Source organism: Homo sapiens, chromosome 18 (genome assembly GCF_000001405.40).
Source record: "Homo sapiens chromosome 18, GRCh38.p14 Primary Assembly".
Classification (NCBI taxonomy): Eukaryota; Metazoa; Chordata; class Mammalia; order Primates; family Hominidae; genus Homo; species Homo sapiens.
This window is the reverse complement of record NC_000018.10, coordinates 67661462-67686159: the sequence shown is the minus strand read 5'-3', so window position 1 is coordinate 67686159 and position 24698 is coordinate 67661462. Positions and strand designations below refer to the sequence as shown.

General features: G+C 35.1%; 2 long non-coding RNA genes across 2 annotated transcripts in view; one reads left to right on the top strand and one right to left on the bottom strand.

Moving 5' to 3' along the window:
* LOC105372173 (uncharacterized) overlaps positions 1-13936 on the top strand; it is a 94828-nt gene extending 80892 nt beyond the window's left edge. The window contains exons 2-4 of the long non-coding RNA NR_188049.1: positions 10858-11105; positions 13548-13634; positions 13796-13936. This is a non-coding gene — a long non-coding RNA (uncharacterized LOC105372173). The remainder of the gene's footprint in view (positions 1-10857; positions 11106-13547; positions 13635-13795) is intronic.
* DSEL-AS1 (DSEL antisense RNA 1) overlaps positions 1-24698 on the bottom strand; it is a 383074-nt gene that overhangs the window by 213460 nt on the left and 144916 nt on the right. The gene's annotated exons all lie outside the window — the stretch shown is intronic.

Sequence of the window (24698 nt, the reverse complement as noted above, 5' to 3'; positions counted from 1 at the left end):
AAAGGAGAGAAAGTTAATAATGTGGTTTTAAAACTCTTTGTTACGTTGTAAGAATGGAGATAAATTTCACTGGGAAACTCTTAAGAGTCAGATAAAAAAGTGTCTCAGAGATAATCTACTAAATTTCCAAACAATTCTTGGAAGGGCTCTAATTTCCTGGAATATTGGTCTGGCCAAATGGGCAGCGTAAAGGACCACAGTGACAAGAGAAAGTCCCCTAAGACTAAGGGGAAGGGATTTAGATATTTTGGGTACCCTCTGAAGAAGTTGTGGGTGATCTGGCGGGGTCAATAGCAATTTGATAAATCAACCAATTGGAATGTCTAATTTACATCCTAATTCAATCAAAGAAATTTCAGCATTTACTGGATGTTGTCATTAAGGAATTAATGTTAGTTTTATGTGATATATATGGTTAGGTAATATAAAAACAAGTTTATTTATTTATTGAAAGAGGGTCTCACTCTGTTGCCCAGGCTAGAGTGCAGTGGCCTGATCATTGCTCACTGCAGCCTCAAGCTTCTAGACTCAAGCAATCCTCCTGCCTCAGCCTCCCAAGTAGTTGGGACTACAGGTGCAAGGTCTCACTATGCTTCCCAGGCTGGTCTCACACTCCTGGACTCAAGAGATGCTCCTGCCCTATCCTCCCAAAACCCTAGAATTACAGGTGTGAGCCACTCTGCCTGACAAAATAAGTATATTTTAAAATATACATAGTGAATTACTTGAGAATAAAATATTACATGTGTGGTCTTACCTCAAAATATATCAAAAAGATGGGAGAAGCTTTTGGCAGAAGAATTGATTAAATTGTCAAGAGTTGATAATTACTTAAGATGGTTTTGGGTACATAAGGTTTTATGATAAAATTAGCTTTAATTTTGCATACATTTGAAATTTTCCATAATAAAATTTATTATTTTTAATAAGAAAAAAGTAAAGAGGTATACGTGGCTCACACAAACCCAATAATTTAGGGCAGTAAAGTATATCTAGTTAGAATTTTGAAAACTCCATAGCCCCTTAACTGTTAGTGTCTAAATTTAATTAATTCCCATATAAAAATCACTTAAACTAGGGCAGTAACTTTGAAGAAAATTAAGTTTTGAATATGAATATTAATCAATACTAATTGAAATTACAGTGGAAGTTAGTCACTTCACAGTGTTTTTACTTTGAAGTTATGTGAGATAATATTCATCATGATGCAAATAAATCATATGCAGGAATTATACAAATTTCTACAGACATGAATGTCTCCTCAAAACTCTGATATTTACTAGACAAACTGCAATTGAGCAGTTGTCTTCTTAGAGATTCTTTTTTCTAAGAAGATTGCTCGTAAGTTGTTTATCTATGAGCCATGCAATGTTACAAAAAACTAGATCCTAACATAGAATAGAGTAATATAGTAATTTAACTGTGAAACAGTGAGAAAATTTCAGTTCTCAATTGTCTAATAATTTCACAGAGTACAATTTAGTCATTTAGAAAATTTCCCAAAGTATTTTTTATATTTTTTTTCCAAAAAAAAGTGCAGTTAGACTGAATTGTCTATTAGTTCTAGCTAATTTATAAAGGAAAATGGAGACCTCTGGCTTGAGAATGATTCTAAAATCAGTGTGCAAATCAAAACCAATATAAGATTAAATAAGAATTATCTGTGAAACTCTATTAAATCCCAATATCTTAAAAATCATCTCTGTCTTATATTCAGGATTTTTGCTAAATGAGTAGATTATGGCTGATCTTGACAATGGTTTGGGAAAATGGTTAACTATGTGGGATCATGGACATGTTAACTTGTTTCACTACAGTAACCATTTTACTATTTTTATGAATCTTATAAATAATGCTTTATGCCTTAACTGTATACAATAAAGTTCATTTTTTAAAATGGAATATCCTGGTCGGGTGCGGTGGCTTAAGCCTGTAATCCTAGCACTTTGGGAGGCCCAGGTGGGTGGATCACCTGACGTTGGGAGTTCGAGACCAGCCTGACCAACATGGAGAAACCCCATCTCTACTAAAAATACAAAAAAATTAGCCGGGCGTGGTGGCATGTGCCTGTAGTCCCAGCTACTCGGGAGGGTGAGGTAGGAGAATCGCTTGAACCCAGGAGGCGGAGGTTGCCGTGAGCCGAGATGGCGCCACTGCACTCCAGCTTGGGCAACAAGAATGAAACTCCGTCTCAAAAAAAAAAAAAAATATCCCTTAGTACTCTCAGTAAAATCAAATTTTCTTTTATCAATTTATACATGTTTACATTTCTTCAATCTTCATAGCTTATAAATTTTTCAAAATTACAATTTGGAGCAAAGGGTTGTTGGAGACAATGAATACAGACCAACTTTCTATTTTTATTGCTGTATTTTCTGATAAAACATGCAGACTTCATAACATTAGTACTTTTAAAAAAAATTTTTACAAATTGAAGGAGATACAAGTACAGGTTTCTAACATGAATATACTGTGTAGTGCTGAAGTCTGAGCTTTTAGTAGAACCATCACCCGAATAGTATACATCATATTCATTGGGTAATTTCTCATCCCTCACCCTCCTTCCCCCCACTCACCTTTCTGAGATTCCAGTGTCTATTATTTCACTGTCTATGTCCATATATACAAATTAATTAACTCCCACTTATAAGTGAGACTATGTGGTATATGACATTCTGTTTGTGAGTTAATTTACTGAATATAATGTCCTCCACTTCTACCCATATTGCTGCAAAATACATGATTTCATTCTTTTCTAATGGCTAAGAAGTGTGTGTATATATATATAATATACACATATATGTATATATGTGTATATATGTATATATATGTGTGTGTATATATATGTGTGTGTATATATATGTATATACACACATATGGACACACACACACACACAGACACACACCCCACATTTTCTTTATTCAGTCATGATGAACACTTGAGTTGATTCCATATCTCTGCTATTGCAAACAATGCTGCAATAAACATATGAGTGCACTATATATATATAAAATACATATAATATATATAAAATATATATAATATACAATAATATATATTTATATATAAAATAGATATAGATATAGATATAGATAATGCTTTCTTTTCCTTTGGATGGATACCCACTAGTGGAATTACTGGTTTGAATGGTAGTTCTATTCTCAATTATTTGAGAAATCTCCATACTGCTTTCCATAGAGATTGTAGTAATGTACATTTCCACCAACAGTATAAGCATTCTTTTTTTGTCTTTTTGTATTCTCAACATGTGTTGTTTTTGACTTTTCCATTCTGAGTGTTGTAAGACTGTATCTCATTGTGGTTTTAATTTGCATTTCTCTATGATTAGTGATGTTTAGCAATTTTTTTATGTTTGTTGGCTGCTTGTATGTCTCCTTTTGAAAAGCGTTCATGTCCTTTGCCCACTTTTTAATAGGGTTATTTTTTTCTCTCATTGAGTTAAGTTCCTTGAAGATTCTATTAGTCCTTTGCCAAATGCATAGTTTGCAATGTTGATTGTCTGTTTACTCTGTTGGTTATTTCTTTTGCTGTGCAGAAGTTTCTAATTTAACAAAGTCTGATTTGCCTATTTTTTTTTATTGCTGTTGCATTTGCTTTTGTATTCTTAATCATAAATTCTTTACTAAGGCCAATGTACAGAAGAGTTTTTCTTAGTTTTTTTTTTTTCTATGAGTTTTTATAGTTTTAGGACTTACATTTAAGACTTTAATCTATCTTGCGTAAATTTTGGTATATGGTGAGAGATATGGGTCCAATTTTATTCTTCTGAATAGAGCCATCCAATTTTCCCAGCACTATTTATTCAATAGAGTGCCCTTTCCTTGTGACTTTATTTCTGGATTATCTGTTGATATCCATTTATATATATGTCTATTTTTATACCATTACCATGCAGTTTTGGTTACTATCACCTTGTAGCATAATTTGAAGTTCGGTAATGTGATGTCTCCAGCTTTGTTCTCTTTGCTTAGAATTGCTTTGGCTATTTGTGCTTTTTCTGTTTTTGTTCCATGTGTATTTTAGGATTGTTTTTCTAGTTATGTAAAAAAATATGACATTTGTATTTTCACAGAAACTGAATTGAATCTTTACATTGCTTTGGGCAGTATGGTATTGTAATGATGCTAATTCTTCCAATCTATGAGTATGGGGGTTATAGCATTCCTTGCAGAGATCTCTCAACTCCTTGGTTAAATGTGTTCCTAGGGTTTTGTATTGTTTTGTTTTGGTAGCTATTGTAAATGGGATTCAGTTCTTGATCTGATTCTCATCTTGATCATTATTGATCAAATGCTACTGATTTTTGTACATTGATTTTTGTATGCCAAAATTTTACTAAATTCACTTATCAAATATAGGAGACTTCTGAGGAATCTTTAGGGTTTTCTAGGTATAAGAGCATATAAGGAAACAACAATAATTTGACTTCCTCTCTCCCAATTTGGATGGCTTTTATTTCTTTCTCTTGCTAGATTGTTCTGGAGAGGACTTCCAGTACTACATTGAATAGGAGTGTTGAAAGTGGGAATCATTGTCTTGTTCCAGTTCTCAGGGGTAATACTTTCAACTATTCCCCATTCAGTGTGATGTTGGCTGTGAGTTTGTCAGATACAACTTTTACGACCTTAGGATATGTTTCTTCTCCTATGTCTAATTTGTTGAGAATTTTTATCATAAAGAGTTGTTAAATTTTGTCAAATGCTTTTTCTGCATCTATTGAGAGGATCATAACGTTTTCGTTTTTAATTGTGTTTATGTGGTAAATCACATTTATTGATTTGTGTATGTTAAGCAATCCTTGAATCCCTGAAATAAAACCTGCTTAATCATGGCATATTATCTTTTGATGTGCTGTTATTGGGTTTGGTTTGTTAGTATTTTGTTGAGAATATTTGTTTCCTTTTTTTGTTATGTCTTTGCCTGGCTTTGGTATGAGATTGATGCTGACTTCATAGGATGAGTTAGGAAGATTTATTTCTCCTCAACTTTTTGGATTAGTTTCAGTAGCATTGGTACCAGTTTGTCTTTATACAGCTGGTAGAATTTGACTCTGAATCCTGCATGTTCTGGGTTGCTTTTTGGAGGGATTTTTTTTTTTTCATTATTATTACTGATTAAATCTGACTACTTGTTATTAGTCTGTTAAGAATTTCTATTTCCTCCTGATTAAATCTTGGGAGGTTGTATGGCTCCAGAAATTTATACACTTCCTCTAGGTTTTCTAGTTTGTGAGTATAGAGATTCATAGAAGTCTCTGCTAATCTTTCGTATTTCTGTCGTGTCAATTGTAATGTTTGCTTTTAATTTCTGGGCTTATTTGAATCTTTTCTTGGTTAATCTAGCTAGTGGTCTATCAATTTTGTTGATCTTTTCAAATGACCAACTTTTCATTTCATTTGTTCTTTGTATCATTTTCTTAGTCACAAATGTATTTAGTTTTGCTCTGATCTTTGTTATTTCTTTTCTTCTGCTAGCTTTGTGTTTGGTTTGTTCTTATTTTTCAAGTTCCTTGGGATGCGACATTAGGTTGTCAATTTTACATCTATCTTTTTGACATAGGCATTTAATGCTATTAACTTCCCTCTCAGCACTGCTTTTACTATATCTCAGAGGACTGGTGCTGTGTCTCTATTTTTATTCATTTCAAAAATGAACAAAATTATAAAAAAACATAAAATTACATTAAAATATAAAATTATAAAATATAATTTTTTTAGTTTCCATTTTAATTTTGCCATTAACCCAAGGATCATTCAGGAGTAGATTATATCATTTCCGTAAATTTTTATAGTTTCTTACTTCATCTTGGAATTTATTTTTATTTTTATCCTACTGTGGTCCTAGAAGATACTTTACATGATTTGATTTTTTTTTTTAATTTATTGAGACTTGGCCAGGCGCGGTGGCTCTCGCCTGTAATCCCAACACTTTGGGAGGCAGAGGCGGGTGCAACATGACGTCAGGAGTCCAAGACCATCCTGGCAAACATGGTGAAATCCCATCTCTACTAAAAATACAGAAATTAGCTGGGCATGGTGGTGGGCACCTATAACCCCAGCTACTCGGGAGGCTGAGGCAGGAGAATCGCTTGAACCCAGGAAGTGGAGGTTGCAGTGAGTGGAGACTGAGCCACTGCAGCCACTGCACTCCAGCCTGGCAACAGAGTGAGACTCCATCAAAAAAAAAAAAATTATTGAGACTTATTTTGTGGCCTAAAATATTGTCTATCTTAGAAAATGCTTCATTCACTGATGAGACAAATGCATATTCTGTGGTAGTTGGGTAGAATGTTCTGTCAATGTCTGTTAAGTCCATTTGCTCTAGAGTTCAACTTAAGTATAGTGTTTCTACGTTCACTTTCTGTCTCAATGATCTGTCTAGTGCTGGGAGTGGGATGTTGAAGTCCCCTACTATTATTGTTTTGCTGTTTATCTCTTTATCTTAATTCTAGCAGTATTTGTTTTATGAATCTAGGTGCTTTCGTGTTGAGTGAACATATATTGAGGGCTGTTATATTTTCTTTTTGAATTTATCTGTTTATCATTATATAATGAACTTCTTTATCTTTTTTTTACTATCATTATTTCAAAGCCGTTTTTTTTTTCTGATAGAAGTATAGCTACTCCTGTTCACTGTTTCTGTTTAAGTGGAATATCTTTTACACCATTTAGCCTTTAGTCTATAAGTGTCTGACCAGTTAGATAAATTTTTAAAAAATGAACAAAGCCTTTGAGGATTATGGGAATATTTAAAACATACAAACCTGCAAGTTGTATGTATTCCTAAGGGAGAAAAATGAGTAAAAAGTTAGAAAAAATCTATTTGAGAAGATAGTTGAGGAACACTTTCCTAGGCTTTCTAGAGATTTAGACTTAAAGAAACAAGAGGGTCAGAGAACTCAAGGAAGATACCTTGCAAGAAGAATCGTCACTAAGATTCTTGTCATTAGACTAATTAAGTCACCCTCAAGGAAAAAATTCCAAAATCAGCCAAAATGTCTAATCATCTATAAAGAAAATCACATTAAACTAACAGAGGACTACTAAGCAGTATCCTTACCAGCCAGAAGTGATGGTGGTCCTATTTTCAGAATCTTAAAGAAAAACTCTCAATGCAGAATTTTGTATACAGTTTAACTAAGCATCATAAATGAAGGAGAAATAAAGTATTTTCTAGATAAGCAAACACTAAAGGAATTCATCATCATGAGACCTGAACTAGTAGAAATGCTCAAGGGAACTCTAAATATGAAAATAAAAGGTCAGTACTAATCATCATATAAACACAAAAAAGTATGAAATTCACAGGACTCATTAAACAATTACACAATTGAAACTACAAAGCAACTAGGTAACAACATTATGACAAGAAAAGAACCTCACAAATCAATATTAACTTTGAATGTAAATGGATTAAATGCTCTGGTTAAAGAGGTAGATTGGTGGAATGGATAACAATCAGGATCTAAACATATGCTGTTTTCAAGAAACACTGGCAACTTACAAAAGTAAAAAAAAAAAAATTCTGTACAGGAATAAAATAAATTTAAGAAAGAAAAATATTTTATCTAAGTATACACACACACACACACATATATATGTATATGTATGTATGTATTGTTTTCTTCTTCCAGAACAGTTCGCTGCCTGACAATAGTTTAGTGGGTGGCATTTTATAAAAGTAAGTAAGGCTTATTTAAATGTGTTGAAATGAAATCAATACTCCTTGTTTCTAATTTCACAATAGTAAAATCAGATGTCTTGGGATTTTTATACCACTAACTAAACAGCAAGTACATTTTCAATCAAGGCTTACTCTAATGACATTAGCATATGCATACATACTCTGAATAACAAACATAAAAGATTTTGTTAAAATATATTGAATCTGTAAAGATATTTTAAATATTTTGTGGGCCAGTCTATATGATTCTTAGAATTAATATGCAAAAGCTGGACAATGTATGTATAAGTTACATATGTACAAGATAATGTATGTATTTAAAAAAAACCCAAACTGTATGCATAAACTATTAATGAAAATATTGAAAGAATTTTGAGGTAAAACACATAGAGAAGAAGATTAATTAAGTTTTCAAAATGGTAAAATGTATTTAAAGAAGAAACCTTTAATAATTTCTTTGTTTTCAGTATGATGCAGAAGATATTTGACTGCCTTTTTTCTGATATGATTAAAATAAATACATGTTTCCATTTCCAGAATCACCTAGATATTGTCAAAATACTGAATGCTTCAAAATAATATAAATTTTATGCCACTATTAAAATGCTGATTTACGTATCAGCATAAAACACAAAACAGTTATCTGGAGTTGTGACTATCAACTGCCACTGAGAAAATATTCTACACCGATGAGAAATTCTAAATAGGGCACATGTTGACTCCCTTGACATCTTACTGTATGATTTAGATCAGCAGCAATCAGGGAAAGATGTATGGGATGGCAGGTGATTTGTAGGATCTGAAGTAATTTGGACAGTTCTTGAGTCAGCAAGCAGTAACCATCAATACAACTAATCAAATAATGTAGTATTTTTGTAGTAGCGGTATTATATGTCATATGTGGTAGTATTGTATCACAATAAAAGTAGTTCTTGTACAAGTTAGTGACTTTAAGTCCTAGAGTTGAGGTCATGGACTCACATTACATGTTGTTTATATTCAAATAATTCTGCGTGATTGATCATGCTTTTATTTATGTTCAGAATAAAACACTTACAGGAGATTTAGTTGAAGACTACAGAAGAGGTGGTCCTAAGTTAGTGGTTTCCAAAACTGACTATCCAACTTTGAGTCTTCTCAGCAGTTTTTATAGATATTTATTTCCCAGCTCCTTCTTAAGCTCACTGACTCAAAATATCTGAAAGAGGGCTCTGGAGCCAATATTAAAATATGTAACAAAGAAAACTTCCCTACAAGATTTGCACTCATAGCCAAATTTTAGAAACATTAAGCTAGAATGGACTTCCTTGCACAGTATGTGTTTTCTATCTTCATTGCATGCAGGCTTCTGTGTATGATGCATACAAACATGAGGGAGGGGACATATTAGATTTAAAATTATTTCAAATGCTTACTGGGAAATAATGATGATGATTAACATTGTTATCATCACCATCTTTATTTCATATTTTTATTTTGTTCCTTTTAGCTTAAACATCTGATTTGTGGAAATATCCTAAAGTATTTCCCAGCAGCATTGCCCAGCTAAAATGGAATTGTGTATAACTGTCAAATGGGCTACAAAAACTATTCTTTGATGTTTCATGTTTTATTCATTATTTTACCATAGCACTGTATTTATAATCCCATTCATAGTGCTAAACTGAAGAAAGAAAGTAATAGCTGGAAAATCATTATTTTTGAAAAAAATAGTGAAAGGGTTAGGGAAGGGTCAAAATCATTTAAGATTTTAGATATTAAAAACAATTACTCCTATATGAAAAAGTATGGATATTGTTGTAGATTTGCTTCTGCCATTCTAAGTTTATAATTCATTCATTTTGTTCTGATTATAATATTGATTAAAGTTATTTAATTATTAATAGTTACTTTTGTACTTAAAACGTTACACAGTTAAATGGTAAAATTTGCCTTTTTAAGACAAGTATGTTAAATTATCTGACCAAAAAAAATCCTGTATTATTAAAAATGAGGCTAATACCAGAATTCTAACTATAACAGAAAATGCTCATAAATGAGCATGGGTAAGTGCTCTGAATTGTATGTTAAGTTTGTACCCACACTCTTGCCCTTGAACCAGTTTGTAATTAATCACATTCATCTGGCATGAATTCACAAGCTGCTCACCTCTTCAGAAGGTGGTACGTTAGCTTGTACAATCGGGCCAAATCAAAAGTGATACAAGAATCATCCAAATTCTGATATTTCAGAGGAGATACTAGGAATCATGTATCTATATTCAAAGTTCTATATTCAAAGTTGATGCTGCCAGAAAATCTACTGAGTCCTCCTCTCCACATTTTTTTAGACTTAATCTGGTTCATACATCTCCTCACTCTGCAGTCAGATTGCCCTCTCACCCTCAGCAGGACCCCACATCCCACATTACTGGCAAAGTGAAGAGGATTCAAGGTACTTTCTTCCCACTGAATAAGTGGTTCTCTCCTCTTAGTTTTTTAGGAGTGTGCTTATGTGCCTCTTATTCATTCAATAGCCTATGGTAGAAGTTGTGTTATCTTCAAGTTTGTAACCACGCATTTTTTTACTTTATTAAATTTCAAATGTTTGAAACTCTAGCATAATTCCATTAAGATAAGTATGATCTGGTATTAATAGAAAACAGTGTAAAATTTTTGGCTACTGAACTTTTTTTGAGGTAATACTTTGATTTTTTTTCTAATTTATTGAAAAATTATTTGTCTACTCTGATCACCTATTTGCATTCATTTTGGACACATAGGAGATTCTGCAATCACAAAATCACTGCCTTCACATAGCTTATATTCTTGTGGGAGTAAGCAGACAATGACAAACAAATTGGAAGAGTAAGGGAAAAGTGTTAATTTTAAATAGGATCGTCAAAGAAAGCCTCACCCCAAAGGTACCATTTAAATGAAGATCCTGTGGCAGGCAGCTCCTTGGTTACCTGCTCTCTGTACTCATTTTCCCCTCATTTCTGCACACATGGTTGTCCAAATATAGGCTACCTTTTCTAACTACCCTGGTAACACTATGCAACTGTTTGCAATGAAATATACGTAGAAGCAATCTGTGAAAATTTAACTCTAATTTATTTAAAAGGAAATACCTTTGACCTAGACTTTTCTTTTTATTCATATCCATTCATGCAGATGGCAACAGTGCTCAAAGGGAAGGAAGATAATTAAAATGGAAGACAGAGCCATCAAAAACCATGTGGAGGAAAGTCACTACATGAGCCTAGACTGAAAGAATGTACACAGGCAGATATAAATGCCTATTTCATTTAACGTATTTTGCTTAGGATCTCCTTGTTATAAAACCTTGGCTTTTGGTCAAATAACACAGACCAGTAAGAAATGAGGTTGGAAGATGGGAATATTTAGGAGCAGTAGGAATGGTAAGTTCATATTCCCTGAGGGAGCAACATTCCTGACACAACTGAGGAATAACAAAGAAGAATCACAAGAGAGAATAAGAGTGAGAGTTGCAGGAGATGCGGTCAGAAAAGAAACAGGGTCCAGTTCATTTTTCTTTCTTTTGAGACAGAGTTTCGCTTTTGTTGCCCAGGCTGGGGTGCAAAGGTACAGTCTCTGCTCACTGCAACTTCTGCCTCTTGGGTTCAAGTGATTCTCCTGCCTCAGCCTCCTGAGTAGCTGGGATTACAGGCGCTGGCCACCACACCAGGCTAATTTTTGTATTTTTAGTAGAGACGGGGTTTCGCCATGTTGGCCAGGCTGGTCTCGAACTCCCAACCTCAGATGATCTGCCAGCCTCGGCCTCCCAAAGTGCTGGGGTTACAGGCATGAGCCACCGTGCCCAGCCCAGTTCATTTTTCTAATTTTAATATTACTCTATATTAGATTTTAGAATATCTGCAATATTTGTTGGTTACCTTAAGGGATTTCACTTCAAATATTTGGAGATATCATTAAAAGGACTAGAACAGAGGAACATAAGTCAACTTATATTGTAAAAGGGTTGCTTTGGCCACTCTGCTGAAACTAGACTATAGGAAGGTAAGGAAGATGCAAGGAGGTCAATCAGGACAAATTACAATATAGTAAAATTGTGTGTTACTTGAATCGGGGTGCTAGCTACGACTATGGTCATAGTGGAAAAGTTGTTGGAAAGGTTTGAAATTTAAATATATTTCAAAGCAGAGTCAATAAGGCATTCTAATAGTTTGGATTTAGACTGTGACAAAAAGAAATAACTCAAAGATTACCCCAAGTATTTTGGCTTGAGTTCCTGGAAGAATTAAGTTCATATTATGGGCAAAATGGGGGAAAATCTGGGGCAGGATAAGATGTTTAGTATACCCAGTTTGGGACATGTTAAGTTTTATGTGTTAAACTTCCAAGTTACTGGGATGCCTGTTGCATAGCAAGTTGTGTAAATAAATGTGGAGTACAGAGGAGGTTCAGGCTGCAGACATAAGTTCACATGTTTATGTTTTATGGTATTTTTAACATTTATACTAGATGAGGCCACAATGAATTTGTGAAGACTGCAGAGTGAAGCAATCTAGGGGTTAAATGTTTGATACACCACTATTTAGATATTGAGAGATTAGAAGGTACTAGAAGAAAAGACTAAGACAACAGATATTTTAAAAATATGTGAACAGTCATTTTTAATAGTTAAAAAGTAACATTTTTCTTTTTATACCTTGAACTTGTATTTTCTTTCTATGTTTGCTACTGCATCATATCTCTCTATAAAAATAAAACATATTACTTGAATTGCATTTTATTTATCTCCTGTGACCATAAAGTTCTAACTTTCTAATCTTCTAATAAGAAGGGAAATATTTTTCTAGTCTTTTCTGGACTTACTATTATTATTATAGAATTGAAAAAGTAAACACAAAAGTATTTTATACTTAAAAAATAATCATTAAGCAAAAGAAAATTTTTACTGAAACTGCATCCCAATTAGATGTTTATTCTTTTCAATTAGTTCATTTACATTGTGAATAAAGATTGCTTACTGCTAGAATTAGAAAGACTTCATTGAAAATTAAAAGCGTGAGGAAAAAAATATGTTGAGCATCTAATAAATGAAGCTTACAAAAGATAAACATACAAATGCTTTATTTAGAATGCAGGCCACAATGTTGCACTTATTATGGTAATTAAATAACCAGGAGAGAAGTAACTAATGAGAGAGAGTGAGCAGAAGGCTTAGATCCAACTAAATCAATGGGTAAGATTTTCCACTATACAATATATTTTTTGTAAATGTTAATGGGAATTTTCCTTCTAACATTTGAATAACTGTTCTAGAAACTATGAAATAATTACTTACAACTGGCTCATATACCTTATTTTTCAAAATTGCCACATTAACTTATTGGAAGTTTCACCTCCTTTTAAATCATGAAAAATACGCAGTTGCAACACAGACTTAATCATGGGTTGAACGAATATATTCTCCTAGCTTTTTCTCATTACTGAGCTGCAGAGAGGAAAACTTCTTGGCAGACTGATACTTCTCAACATAGTTTTTACAATTCCTGAATGCCCTAATTCTGAGGTAGAACGTGAATTGGATGCCTGGCTGTGAGTTTATATGAACGCCAGCACGGCTGACTGCAGGGTTTCTCTGCATGTCTCCTTTGCTTGTTCTCTCAGGACTTGTCTTCCAGTAACTATGTGAATAGAAGAGGCAATTTCACTAAATAAAATATTATCACTCATTTCACCCAGTTCTAGAATCAGAGTAAACTTGGAACATTATTTAAATGGACTAAAATGTTCATTGTCTGATGCTGTGAGTTGCTTTTAACAGGAATGTTTATAAGACAGTTTTTATTAATGCCATTTCTTTATTCAATAAGGCTCTCCTGACACCAGTTCTTGAACTATAAATGTGTTTGGATTCCCAGAGGTTTTTACACTCTACTAACATTTATGATTTGTGAGAGGTAAGCCTTTCTTTTGTAAGTTGGAAAAAAAGACTGTTTGTGAAGGGGAGAGGAGAATGGCCATAACTGCAATCATCTCTCTAGCAGATTAGTTTCAGGAACTAGTACATGTTGAAGTAGAGGATTTAAAGACTATCCATGATTAAATGTCTCTTTGCAAGATACCCGTTCCCTGAGGGGCATGCATCATGCACAGGAAAACCACAGGATCTGCGAAATGCAAGATGACCCAACTTCCAACAGTGTTAATCAATGGAGTAGTCATGAATTACTATGTACTCAATTAAACTTTGTTGCAAAAATCATGATCTTTAAAGCCTTTTTCCATTCTGTCTGTATATTCTGTCTTTTAATGTAACACTTTATGTTTTATCCATATAATTTTCCCTTCATCAGAGATATACTTCCCTTGCTATCTTGACTTGAATGCTCATTTCATTCATTGCCAGTTTCAATGGCATGGGAAAATGCTAAATGTAAGTATTATTGGATATACACAAACACACACACACACACACACACACACACACACTTTGATCATTGGTATGTTTTGGCTTGCTTTATTTCTTGCTGTGTTCTGGATAATCCAAGGGATCCTCTTTTAGGTAGCCTAGCAACAATCTGACTTAGCAGAAAGGGATGCAAAGTCTTTGATGTGATAACTACCTCGGAAAGTGGTGATCAACAACAGGATAAATGTGTCCAGGCACACAAGAATCTAGAGCACGGTCCCCAACGCCTGGGCCACAGACCAGTAATGATCCATGATCTGTTAGAAACCTGGCCACACAACAAGACGTTAGCAGCAGGCAAGCAAGCAAAGCTTTATCGGTATTTACAGCCACTCTGCATCGCCTGCATTACCACCTGAGCTCTGCCTCCTGTCAGATCAGTGGTGGCATTAGATTCTCTCAGGAGCACGAACCCTATAGTGAACTGCACATGCAAGGGATCTCAGTGGCACACTCCCTATGACAGTCTAATGCCTGATGATCTGTCACTGTCTCCCATCACTCCCAGATGGGACCACCTAGTTGCAGAAAAACAAGCTCATGGCTCCCACTGATACTACATTATGGGGAGTTATGTAATTATTTTATTATATATTGCAATGTAATAATAATAGAAATAAAGTGCACAATAAATGGAATGCTCTCGAGTCATTCCGAAACCATCTCTGCTCCTATTGGCGGAAATACTGTCTTCCACGAAACCGGTTCCTGGTGCCAAAAAGGTTGGGGATTGCTGATCTAGAAGATGGCTATGATAATGAAGGCGACTGGTTTTTTCAACTTTCTTTCTGAGAAGAGGCACCCAACCAGCCACAAGGATTGTTAAGAACAAGAAATAAAGACATTATACTTTGGGTGGATTTGCTACCATCACTTTTCTTATCATAAGCAAAACAAGAAATATTCCTTTGCTTCTGCATCTGCATCAATATTCTTCTGTTTTGTGTGTAAGCACAATTAAAAGCAGTATGCACTCTCTATATAAAATATTCTCATAATATTTTACAGTATTTTTTTTATTATGATCCTTCTCATACCAATAAAACTGGAAAATAATGGAGTAAACATTCAGTTCAACCTTTAAGGGGTGGTGAAGGAGAAAACTGTGCTACAGAATATTGGATGTTAACAATATAGAAGAATAGGAGATTGATGAAATAAATTAGAATATAAAGGTAGAATTGATCAATAAATTTTAGATTATTATCTTTGAAAAGAAAATTGAACACACTCAAACTCATAGCCCCTTACCTCAGTTTCATCCCTAAGGCTGCCCAATTCAATCCTGTGGTTTGAGATGCAGCAGGCATACCTGCTAGGGTGAAGAATTCTTTCCAACTAGTATCTGAGCGCAAGTAGTCTTAAGATCTCGTATTTCTATACATGACACTATTTCCCAAAATTATCCTCCAAAGTACAGTCTTGCCATAGGAAAGCCTGAAATAATGGTTTGCATCAGAAGAAATCTCCAGGAAGCCTGAAATAATGGTTTTCATCAGAAGAAATCTCCAGAGACCTCTCCATACAGTGCCCACAGAAGAGGAGATAGCTGTTTCCAGTTTGGGGTTATTATAAATAAAGCTGCTATGAATATTTATGTTAAATTTTGTGGGAACATGTGGTTTCACTTTTCAGGGATAGATGTCATAAGAGTGCAATTGTTGCATTGCATGAAAAGCACTTGTTTGTTTGGATTTTTTAAGAAAAATCATATGATTTTCCAGAGTGGCTGAATTGTTTTTCATCCCTACCACCAATGTATGCGCAATCCAGTTGCTCTGCGTCATTACCAATATTTGGTTTTATCACTAGTTCTTATGTAACCATTCTGATAGGTATGTTGTTTTAGAGAAGAAATCATCACTTAAGAATGATTTTGTGAAAGAAGGATCTGAATCATGTAAGCTTCAGAGATCTGTGTATTAACTACAGCTGGGCTTGGTATGCTGTATCAGCTTGCTTCCTTTATCAAGCCTTATGATGCTATTTAATTTCCAAAGTTCCTTTTGAGCAGGCTTGTCTATGTCTTTTCCTTGTTATCCTGAGATTCCAGGGAGGACTGTGTGTGTGTGTGTGTGTGTGTACACATGCATATGTGCACATGCACACACATACATGTGTGCACTTGTGTGGGCCATAGATTATGCACTCCTGATAGTACAAGAATGGTGATGTTATGGATACATTCTGGCTTAAAGTACAAAATCACCTTTACTTATTTTTCTCACTTTTTAAAAATTTTTTGCCAAGTCTTATGTATCTAATTTTCTTGATGTCTATTAACATGTTTCTTCCCTTGCGTCTTCAGTCACTGACATAAGTTAGATTCTTATTTTTCTTACTGCACTATTGCTTCTTATTCTTCCTGTTTTATTCAATGTTTTGATCAATTCATGAATGCCTACTGTACCTTGAATCATATCACACACATATCTATAAGCTTCCAATAATATTTGTTTTCTGCATAGTTAAGTAAAAGTAATTTCCCTTTGGAATATTCTTTAATGTCACTATTTTGTCTTAAAATCCTCATACTGACTTTTCTCTCCACATTGTGCTCTCAGCTTGGATTACTTACTTCTACGGAAGCACTCCACTGCTTTCCTATCTGAACGCTTTCACTTACCTGTTCCTTTCTGAACGATTTTACTCTATATCTTCCTATGAAATCCTGCCAGTTCTCAAAGTCCTTTGCTAATGCCAATTTTATTTCTAAATTCCAGTAACATCTTATCTATATATTTTTAAACCCTATACTATTATGTTTTTCACTTATCTTACAGCTCCAATGAGCTCCTTGAGAACAGAGGTAGATTACACCCCATGTTGTGTCCCACCTGTATTATTCTGCTCAGGCTGCCACAACAAAAACCACAGACTTGGGGCCTTACACAACAGAAATTTGTTTCTCACAGTTCTGGGATCTGGGAAGTCCGAGACCAAGGTGCTGGCCAATTAGGTACCTTGTACAGCCTCTTTTCCTGGCCTGTGGACAGCAGCCTTCTTGCTGTGTCCTCATACGGTGGGGACAGAGCAAACAACCTTCCTGCTGTGTCTTCTTGTAAGGGCACTACAGTCCCATCATGATGGGCCCATCCATCCTCATGACCTAATCTAAACCTAATTACCTCCCAAAGGCCTGAACCCCAGTTATTATCACACTGAGGATTAGGCTTCCACATATGAATTCAGGATTGGGGAGCACAATTCAGTTCATACCACAATGTGTTATTGAACACAGTGCTTTGAACTGTGCTTTGAACACAGAAACTACATAATAATTTCTCAATAAATACTTGTCAAACTGACTTGTAATAGAAACCCTTTCAAAAGACAAATGAGAGAAATGGTGGTAATAAAAATTATCTTGATTTCCAGTTCCCTTCTATAGCAGCTACACACACACACAGAGAGAGAGAGAGAGAGAGAGAGAGAGCGCAAGAGAGCTAAAGATATAAAAGAAACTGAGCAAACAATTCTCACATCAAGGATTCTCGAGTAGAAATCAGCCCAGCATTAAACTAAACAGGTAAAGAGAGGATACTGACATAACAATTTTTTTAAATCACATTTGAATTCACAATATTGTGTGGATTCACTTAATGATTTCTTTAGAAAGATTAACTACTTGGAAAGATTACTATAATAAAAATATGCTTATAAGTGAAAAGCAGGAGAAGTTAACTATTTTGCAAAACAATTGTTATTGAATCTATGTAGATAAGCTCAACTTTATCTGCTCTGGCAAAATGCAGTGCTGACTTAAGTAACTGTAAGTATACCAATGTTTAGACTATTTAGTATCCAAAAGCTTTTTCCTGAATTTTATAGACTATTATTCTGCCTTTATCATAGTCACAGATCTATACAATAAAAGAACTAATAATTTTGTAGTAAAATTTTGAATGTATAAAATTATAGTATTGTATGATAGTCTTTACAGAGGGAAAGAAAAACATGACTCTCCCAGGGGAAGCAAGAGAGGTTATTATATACATTGTCCTTATGACAGCCAGAGAGCTATCAGCTTTCCTTAAAACACAGGGATAAAGTTTAATAGTGAAACACTGAGAAACTTCAATAGCTTGAACACCTTACTCATCACTTTGCAAAGGATCCTGTGCTTTTTACGATTATAGGCAGGAAAAGCTACCTAGTCCCAACTATATTGAAATGGTGCGGCCAGGAGAAACGAGGGCATAGACACAGATTAAATGAGATTGCATAAGTATGAATTGTACTGTGTTTAAACTGCAAGCTATATTGAAATGATGTTCAGTGTCTGCTCTGCCCAAAAGATAAAACAAAGTAATGATTGCTGCATCTGTGGCAAGATGTAGCTGAAGAAAATGATTACAGTTAAGAAGGTAGGACTATTTGAATGAAAAACTTCTTATTGGGTTTATTCAGTCCTGGCCCCAAGGGATGGCTCCTGCTGTCAAATCAGAGTTGAATTGCTGGATGCTAATAGCCGTAATCTAGGATTCTGAAATTATTCTACAAATTTAGCTTTGGTTTCTGCCTTTCAGTGAAGTCTCTTGATTCCCAGAAGAGGGTAAATTAGTATATCTCAGAAACTTAATGGTTATTCCATATTGATATGCTCTGACTTAAAGATGGTTCACATTCCAGAATTATGAAGCACCAATATATAAACCGGCATGGCAACTCATTCATGACCTTGTAGCATAAATTCGGCAGTGTGGTATGACAGTTAAAAACATGTACTCTAGGCCGGGCGCGGTGGCTCACGCTTGTAATCCCAGCACTTTGGGAGACCGAGGCGGGCGGATCACGAGGTCAGGAGATCGAGACCACGGTGAAACCCCGTCTCTACTAAAAATACAAAAATTTAGCCGGGAGTGGTTGTGGGCGCCTGTAGTCCCAGCTACTCGGAGAGGCTGAGGCAGGAGAATGGCGTGAACCCGGGAGGCGGAGCTTGCAGTGAGCCAAGATCGCGCCACTGCACTCCAGCCTGGACGACAGAGACTCTGTCTCAAAAAAAAAAAAAAAAAAAAAAAAAAAAAAAAAAAAAAACATGTACTCTAGAGCCAGACTGCCTGGGTTCAAACTTTAGCTCAACAACTTACTAGCAGGTTACTTAAGGACTCTCTGTCTAAATTTGCAAGTTTGTAAACAGTGCAAATAATAGCACCTACCTCATGCATTGTGTTAGGGAGCCAACATTTATTGTCTATATTTTTCAAACTCCCTGTTGATTTTAATGTTTCAAACCAGCTCCTTTTTGAGACAGAGCTTCAGATTACCAGGAGATATGGCCTTTCATACTTACAGCCTGCTGATTAGAGAAAAGACTTTCTTCCTGATCCTCTATTAGGTAAAGTAATAGAGGAGAAGGCACTGTGAAATGAAAAACAGAAAAGATGAATTTGGATCGCTAAGTTTGGAGGTTGGGATTTTACAAAACTGAGTGTTTTCACTTTTAATGACTGTTTTCTTTTTGAAGTTAAATCCCAATCACCTACTGAGAGTGAGGTGATTTAGGAGACATGAGTGAATAGTACTAGCATAAATTAAGAATAGCTGTTCTGGGGAAAGAATAGAGATGTGACTAAGGTCATAGAACACATTTTCAATTCCACTGAGCACTGAGCTAGATCAGAGGCAGTTACTTATAGCCAGACCCATTTTTACTGTAATGTGAATATTTGCCAGTATGTTCACAAATTGTTCAACAAAATAATAATTTCTAAAGTGAGATTTGCTTTATTTCCTCCATTCCAAAGTGCTCTCCACTATGAAAGCCACCATCATTTTAACAACTGCTTTTCATTCATTCATCCAATACATGTTTACTAAGTGCTGTACATATAGCAGAGAACAAAACAGAAATCTCTGACCTCATGGAGCTTATACTCTGTTGAAGTCAGCAGGTTGCCAATGAAGTAAATAAGTGATTATGATATATTTCAGGTGATGATAATTTCAGTTGACAACTATAAAGCAGGAAGAACTATAGAAAGTGTAGATGTTTTGTTTTTCCATTGTAAAGTGGTGGGTAAATGAAGTTTTATTGAAATGGTAACTTGAGCGGAAAGACCTGAAGAAAATGAGGGAGCAGATGGCATGCAATTTATCTGGGAAAAAAAAAATCTATGCATTGGAGAGAAAAAAAGTGTGTGAGGATGGTGGCTCACGCCTGTAATCCCAGCACTTTGGGAGGCCGAAGCGGGTGGATCACAAGGCCAGGAGTTCAAGACCAGCCTGGCCGAGATGGTGAAACCCTGTCTCTAGTAAAAATACAAAAATTAGACAGATGTAGTGGTGTACACCTGTAATCCCAGCTACTCAGGAGGCTGAGGTAGGAGAATTGCTTGAACCCAGGAGAAAGAGGTTGCAGTGAGCCAAGATCCCACCACTGTACTCCAGCCTGAGTGACAGAGCAAGACTCCATCTCAAAAAACAACAACAACAACGAAAAAAAAAGAGAGAGAGAGAGAGGAACGTCTCATGTAGCTCGAATGCAGTGAGCAAGGGGATGAATAGTAGCAAATGACTCAGGAATTTATGAAGGTTCAGGAATGCTGGGCTTTATGAGCCATCCCAGAGAGTTCACTTTTACTTTTAATGAGATGAACAACCGTGGGGGGGTTGTGAGCAGAGGAGTGACAGGGTCTGGTATGTTTTAAAAAAGACCACTCTAGCTTAAGTATTGAGAATGGACAATAGGAAAGTAAAAAGGAGACAGGGATAGTAGCTATTAAAATAAACAAGAAGTCATTCTAGCTTAGCACAGAATGGTGGCAGTGGAGGAAGAGAAAAGTTGCAAGATTGTTCTTTTGATAATAAAGACAAGAGAATGAAAATACCTTTGGCTTTAGACTAAGCATCTGGTCTTAAAGAGGAGACAGAGGATTGGGAGATTAATTCAATTAAAAACAAATTGGCATGCCACTTATAACATCCAAGTAGGGATGTTAAGAATATTTGAGCTTGGAGTTCAAGAGAGAGGGCTCAGCCACGAAAAATTTAGCAGTCGTTGGCATATACATTAAAGCCATGAGATTGGATGAAATAATATACAGAGAAAGTGTATATGGGAAATAAGGTACGCTTGGGAAATTCCGATGTTTAGTGAACATAGCTAAGGGAGGAAAAAGCAAAGAAGACTCAGATAAATGTATATATAGGAAAAAAAACAACTAAACTATGGTATTTGAAAATGCAGATTAAGAAATAATTTCTTAGAGGAGAGAGTTTCATGGTTTTAAATGCTACTTACAAGTCAAATAAGATAAGGACTGGGAACAAATCATTTGACTTAGCAAGGGGGAAGTCATTGTGGGTCTTGTCAAGATGAGTTTTAATGAAATGGTAGGGGCAAAAACTTATTAAAGCGATCATTTTCTCTTTAGTGATCTAATAATCTAAAGAGAAAGTGATAGAGAAATTGGAAACAGTGAGTCTAATCCACTTTTATTTTTTTTCTAATTGACAGGTAAAATCGTACCTATTTATCTTGTACAAAGTAATGTTTTCAAGTAAATATATCTTATGGAAAGATTAAGTCCAGCTAATAAACAAATGCATTACCTCACAGAGTTATGAGTTTTCAGACTCCATCTCTCACTGTATACAAAAATCAATTCAAAATGAATTTAAAACTTCAATTTACATCTCACAACCATGAAACTACTAGATTTTTCAAAAAGGGAAAAGCTTCATGACATTGGTCTGTGCAATAATTTTTTTATATGACCTCAAAAGCACTGGCAACAAAAGCAAAAATAGACAAACGGGATTAAATCAAACTAAAAAGCTTCTGCACATCAAAGGAAGCAATAAACAAAGTGAAGAGAGAGCATACAGAAAGGGAGGAAATATTTTAAAACTACAACCCAAGGAAGTTCTGCAATGAATGGTAGCGGAGAAGCAAAGGAGTTTCTGAAAGGAGATGAGGGACCAAGAGAGTTATTATTATTATTTTTTTGAGACAGAGTCTTGTGCTGTTGCCCAGGCTGGAGTGCACTGGGCATGTTCATAGTTCACTGCAACAGTTAACAGTGGCAACTTTGCAGAACATACACATCACCTATAACAAGAATTGCCTGTACATATAAACATACACACATACATTGAATAAATAATCTGTGCTTCTATTTTTTTATAAAACTAAATAATGATTGTCATTTCTAGACTATTAGCATACTGATGCGCATGCATTTGCATGCCCCAAATGTCTTTTTTCTTTTCTTTTTATACCTACCTTTGAGCTAAATGAGTGTTTTAGATATATTATCTTTAAAAACAAAGCAGTTGATTTGAATTGGATGATGGGTTAAGAGGTACAAAATACATAATTCCAATCATAGTTCATGGTTTCAAAAGCAAATGTAATTAGTGGAATTAATTTTGGGTTCTAATCATTATGCAAGTGGCCCACATGCAGATTTTTTAGAATGTTGTAAAACACAGGCCAGGCACAGTGGCTCACACCTGTCATCCCAGCAGTTTGAGAGGCCAAGGTGAGAGGAGTGCTTGAGGTCAGGAGTTCAAGACCAGCCTGGGTAACATGGCAAGACCCTGTTTCTACCAAAAATTAAACAATTAGCCAGGCATAGTGGCATGCACCTGTGGTCCCAGCTACTTGGGAGACTGAGGTGGGAGGATGGCTTGAGCCCAGGATGTTGAGGGTTCAGTGAGCTGTGATTGTACCACTGACCTCCAGATAAAAGAAAGGGAAAGAGAGGGGAGGGGAGGAAAAAGGAGGGAAGGGAAGGGGGAGGAGAAAGAAAGAGGAAGGAAGGAAGGAAGGAAGGAAGGAAGGAAGGAAGGAAGGAAGGAAGGAAGGAAGGAAGGAAAGAAGGAAGGAAGGAGGAAAGAAAAGAAAGACAACACTATGTGTGTCACTTATATTGGCAATGATATCTGGTTGACAATATATAGAAAACATCTGTGTATCACAAAATTTTTCCTCTGAAATAGATTCTGTTAATTGAAAATAGATGCTATTCCTATGAAACATAATTAGTAACAGGAATTAATACATTTTGTAAAAGCTTATATGCAATGTAATGTCCACCAACTAAATTATAATGTTCCCTTTTTATGTTCGTGTTTTTTTAATAAAACAAGATAAATATTGAATAGTTTGTCAATTGTAAATGCCTTCAATTAAATTAGTAAACACTATCATACAACTTATCCAAAAAAATTAGAAGACTCATTCGCTCCATCATCTTTCTAACACATTTTCCATGGAAACAATATTCATCAGCATTTGATACTGTATGTTTACATTTTAATTATCATTTAGCTAAAGACTTTGAAATTACTTCTTTTATATTTTTAGAGAGTTTGCAATATAATTTTCCTTTGGGAGATCAGACTCATGCTGATATTGGAGTAAAGGTTCTGGCTTTCTGTTTAGTGGACTGTTACCTTTCTCTCAACTTCAGCTATTTGCTGCTTTCTCACTAGAGCAGTTTTTTCCCTCTTCAGAGGGACTCTGTCTGTCAAATCTAACCTTTTTAAAAAGTTCACAAATTGATATAGTCCAGAGAAGTAACACTTCTTTTCTCAGCAAGGGAATTTTCTAGGTAACTCAAAGGTGTCCATTTGGTGTCCACTTTACGAATTTTTTTCACAGTAAATAAGCATTAGTGAAGTTAATACTTTTAAATGGCACCATGGATTAATATATAATAAACCTCCAAAACCATGGTATACTTCTAATAAGATTTCTTATCTGTTTGTGTGGATACTTGGCAGCACAAAATGAAAAAAAACAAAAGAAATTACTGAGGATAAATTTTGCTAACTATTAGCGTATTCTGGAAGATATAGTTTTTAATGCTTTTAAGTTGATACATCCATTGATATAGCCTAAAATATACAGCCGTGTTTAGATAATATGATCAAGTATATAGAACAGTGCGTGCTTTTGATCCAGGAAGAATTTGTAACTAGCTTCCAATATGATTTTTAAAAATTATCCTCAGCTTCTTGGTGGTTTTCTATTAACTACAGACAAGTCTAAATTCCTTAGCATGACCTACAAGGTTCTTCCTGATAGTGACTCCAATATGCCTTAGCCTTCCTTCCAGGAATCCTTCATAAACCAGCCACACACTCACACTAATTACCGGGATGGTCAAGTGATTTACACCAAAGCAGGAACACTTTTGAAAGCAAGGCAAATACAAACAAAGTTGAAATAACAGGCATGGATTTGAACTGTCTGAGAAAACTGTGACATTTGCTCACCTTAATCATATATGACTAGTCTGCTTTTCTGTGGCCGTAGGCACACTTCTTGGTGCTAGCATACATGAACAGACATGCAGAGTCAGTACCCTTAATAAAGAGACTGACATGTCAATCAACATTTAGAAACTAGATTAAAAAGTGCTAGAATTTGCAAAATCTAGAAGGTAGAGAAGAACACTAGTATGTCCAACTGGGTAATAAACAACATAAAGCCCTCAGTACAGGACCTGACTCATATGAAATATCCTATAGGTATTGAAATTTATTGGTAACAGGACTTGTGTCTTCTAGTCCTGACTCTGCCTCATATTAGCTGGATGAC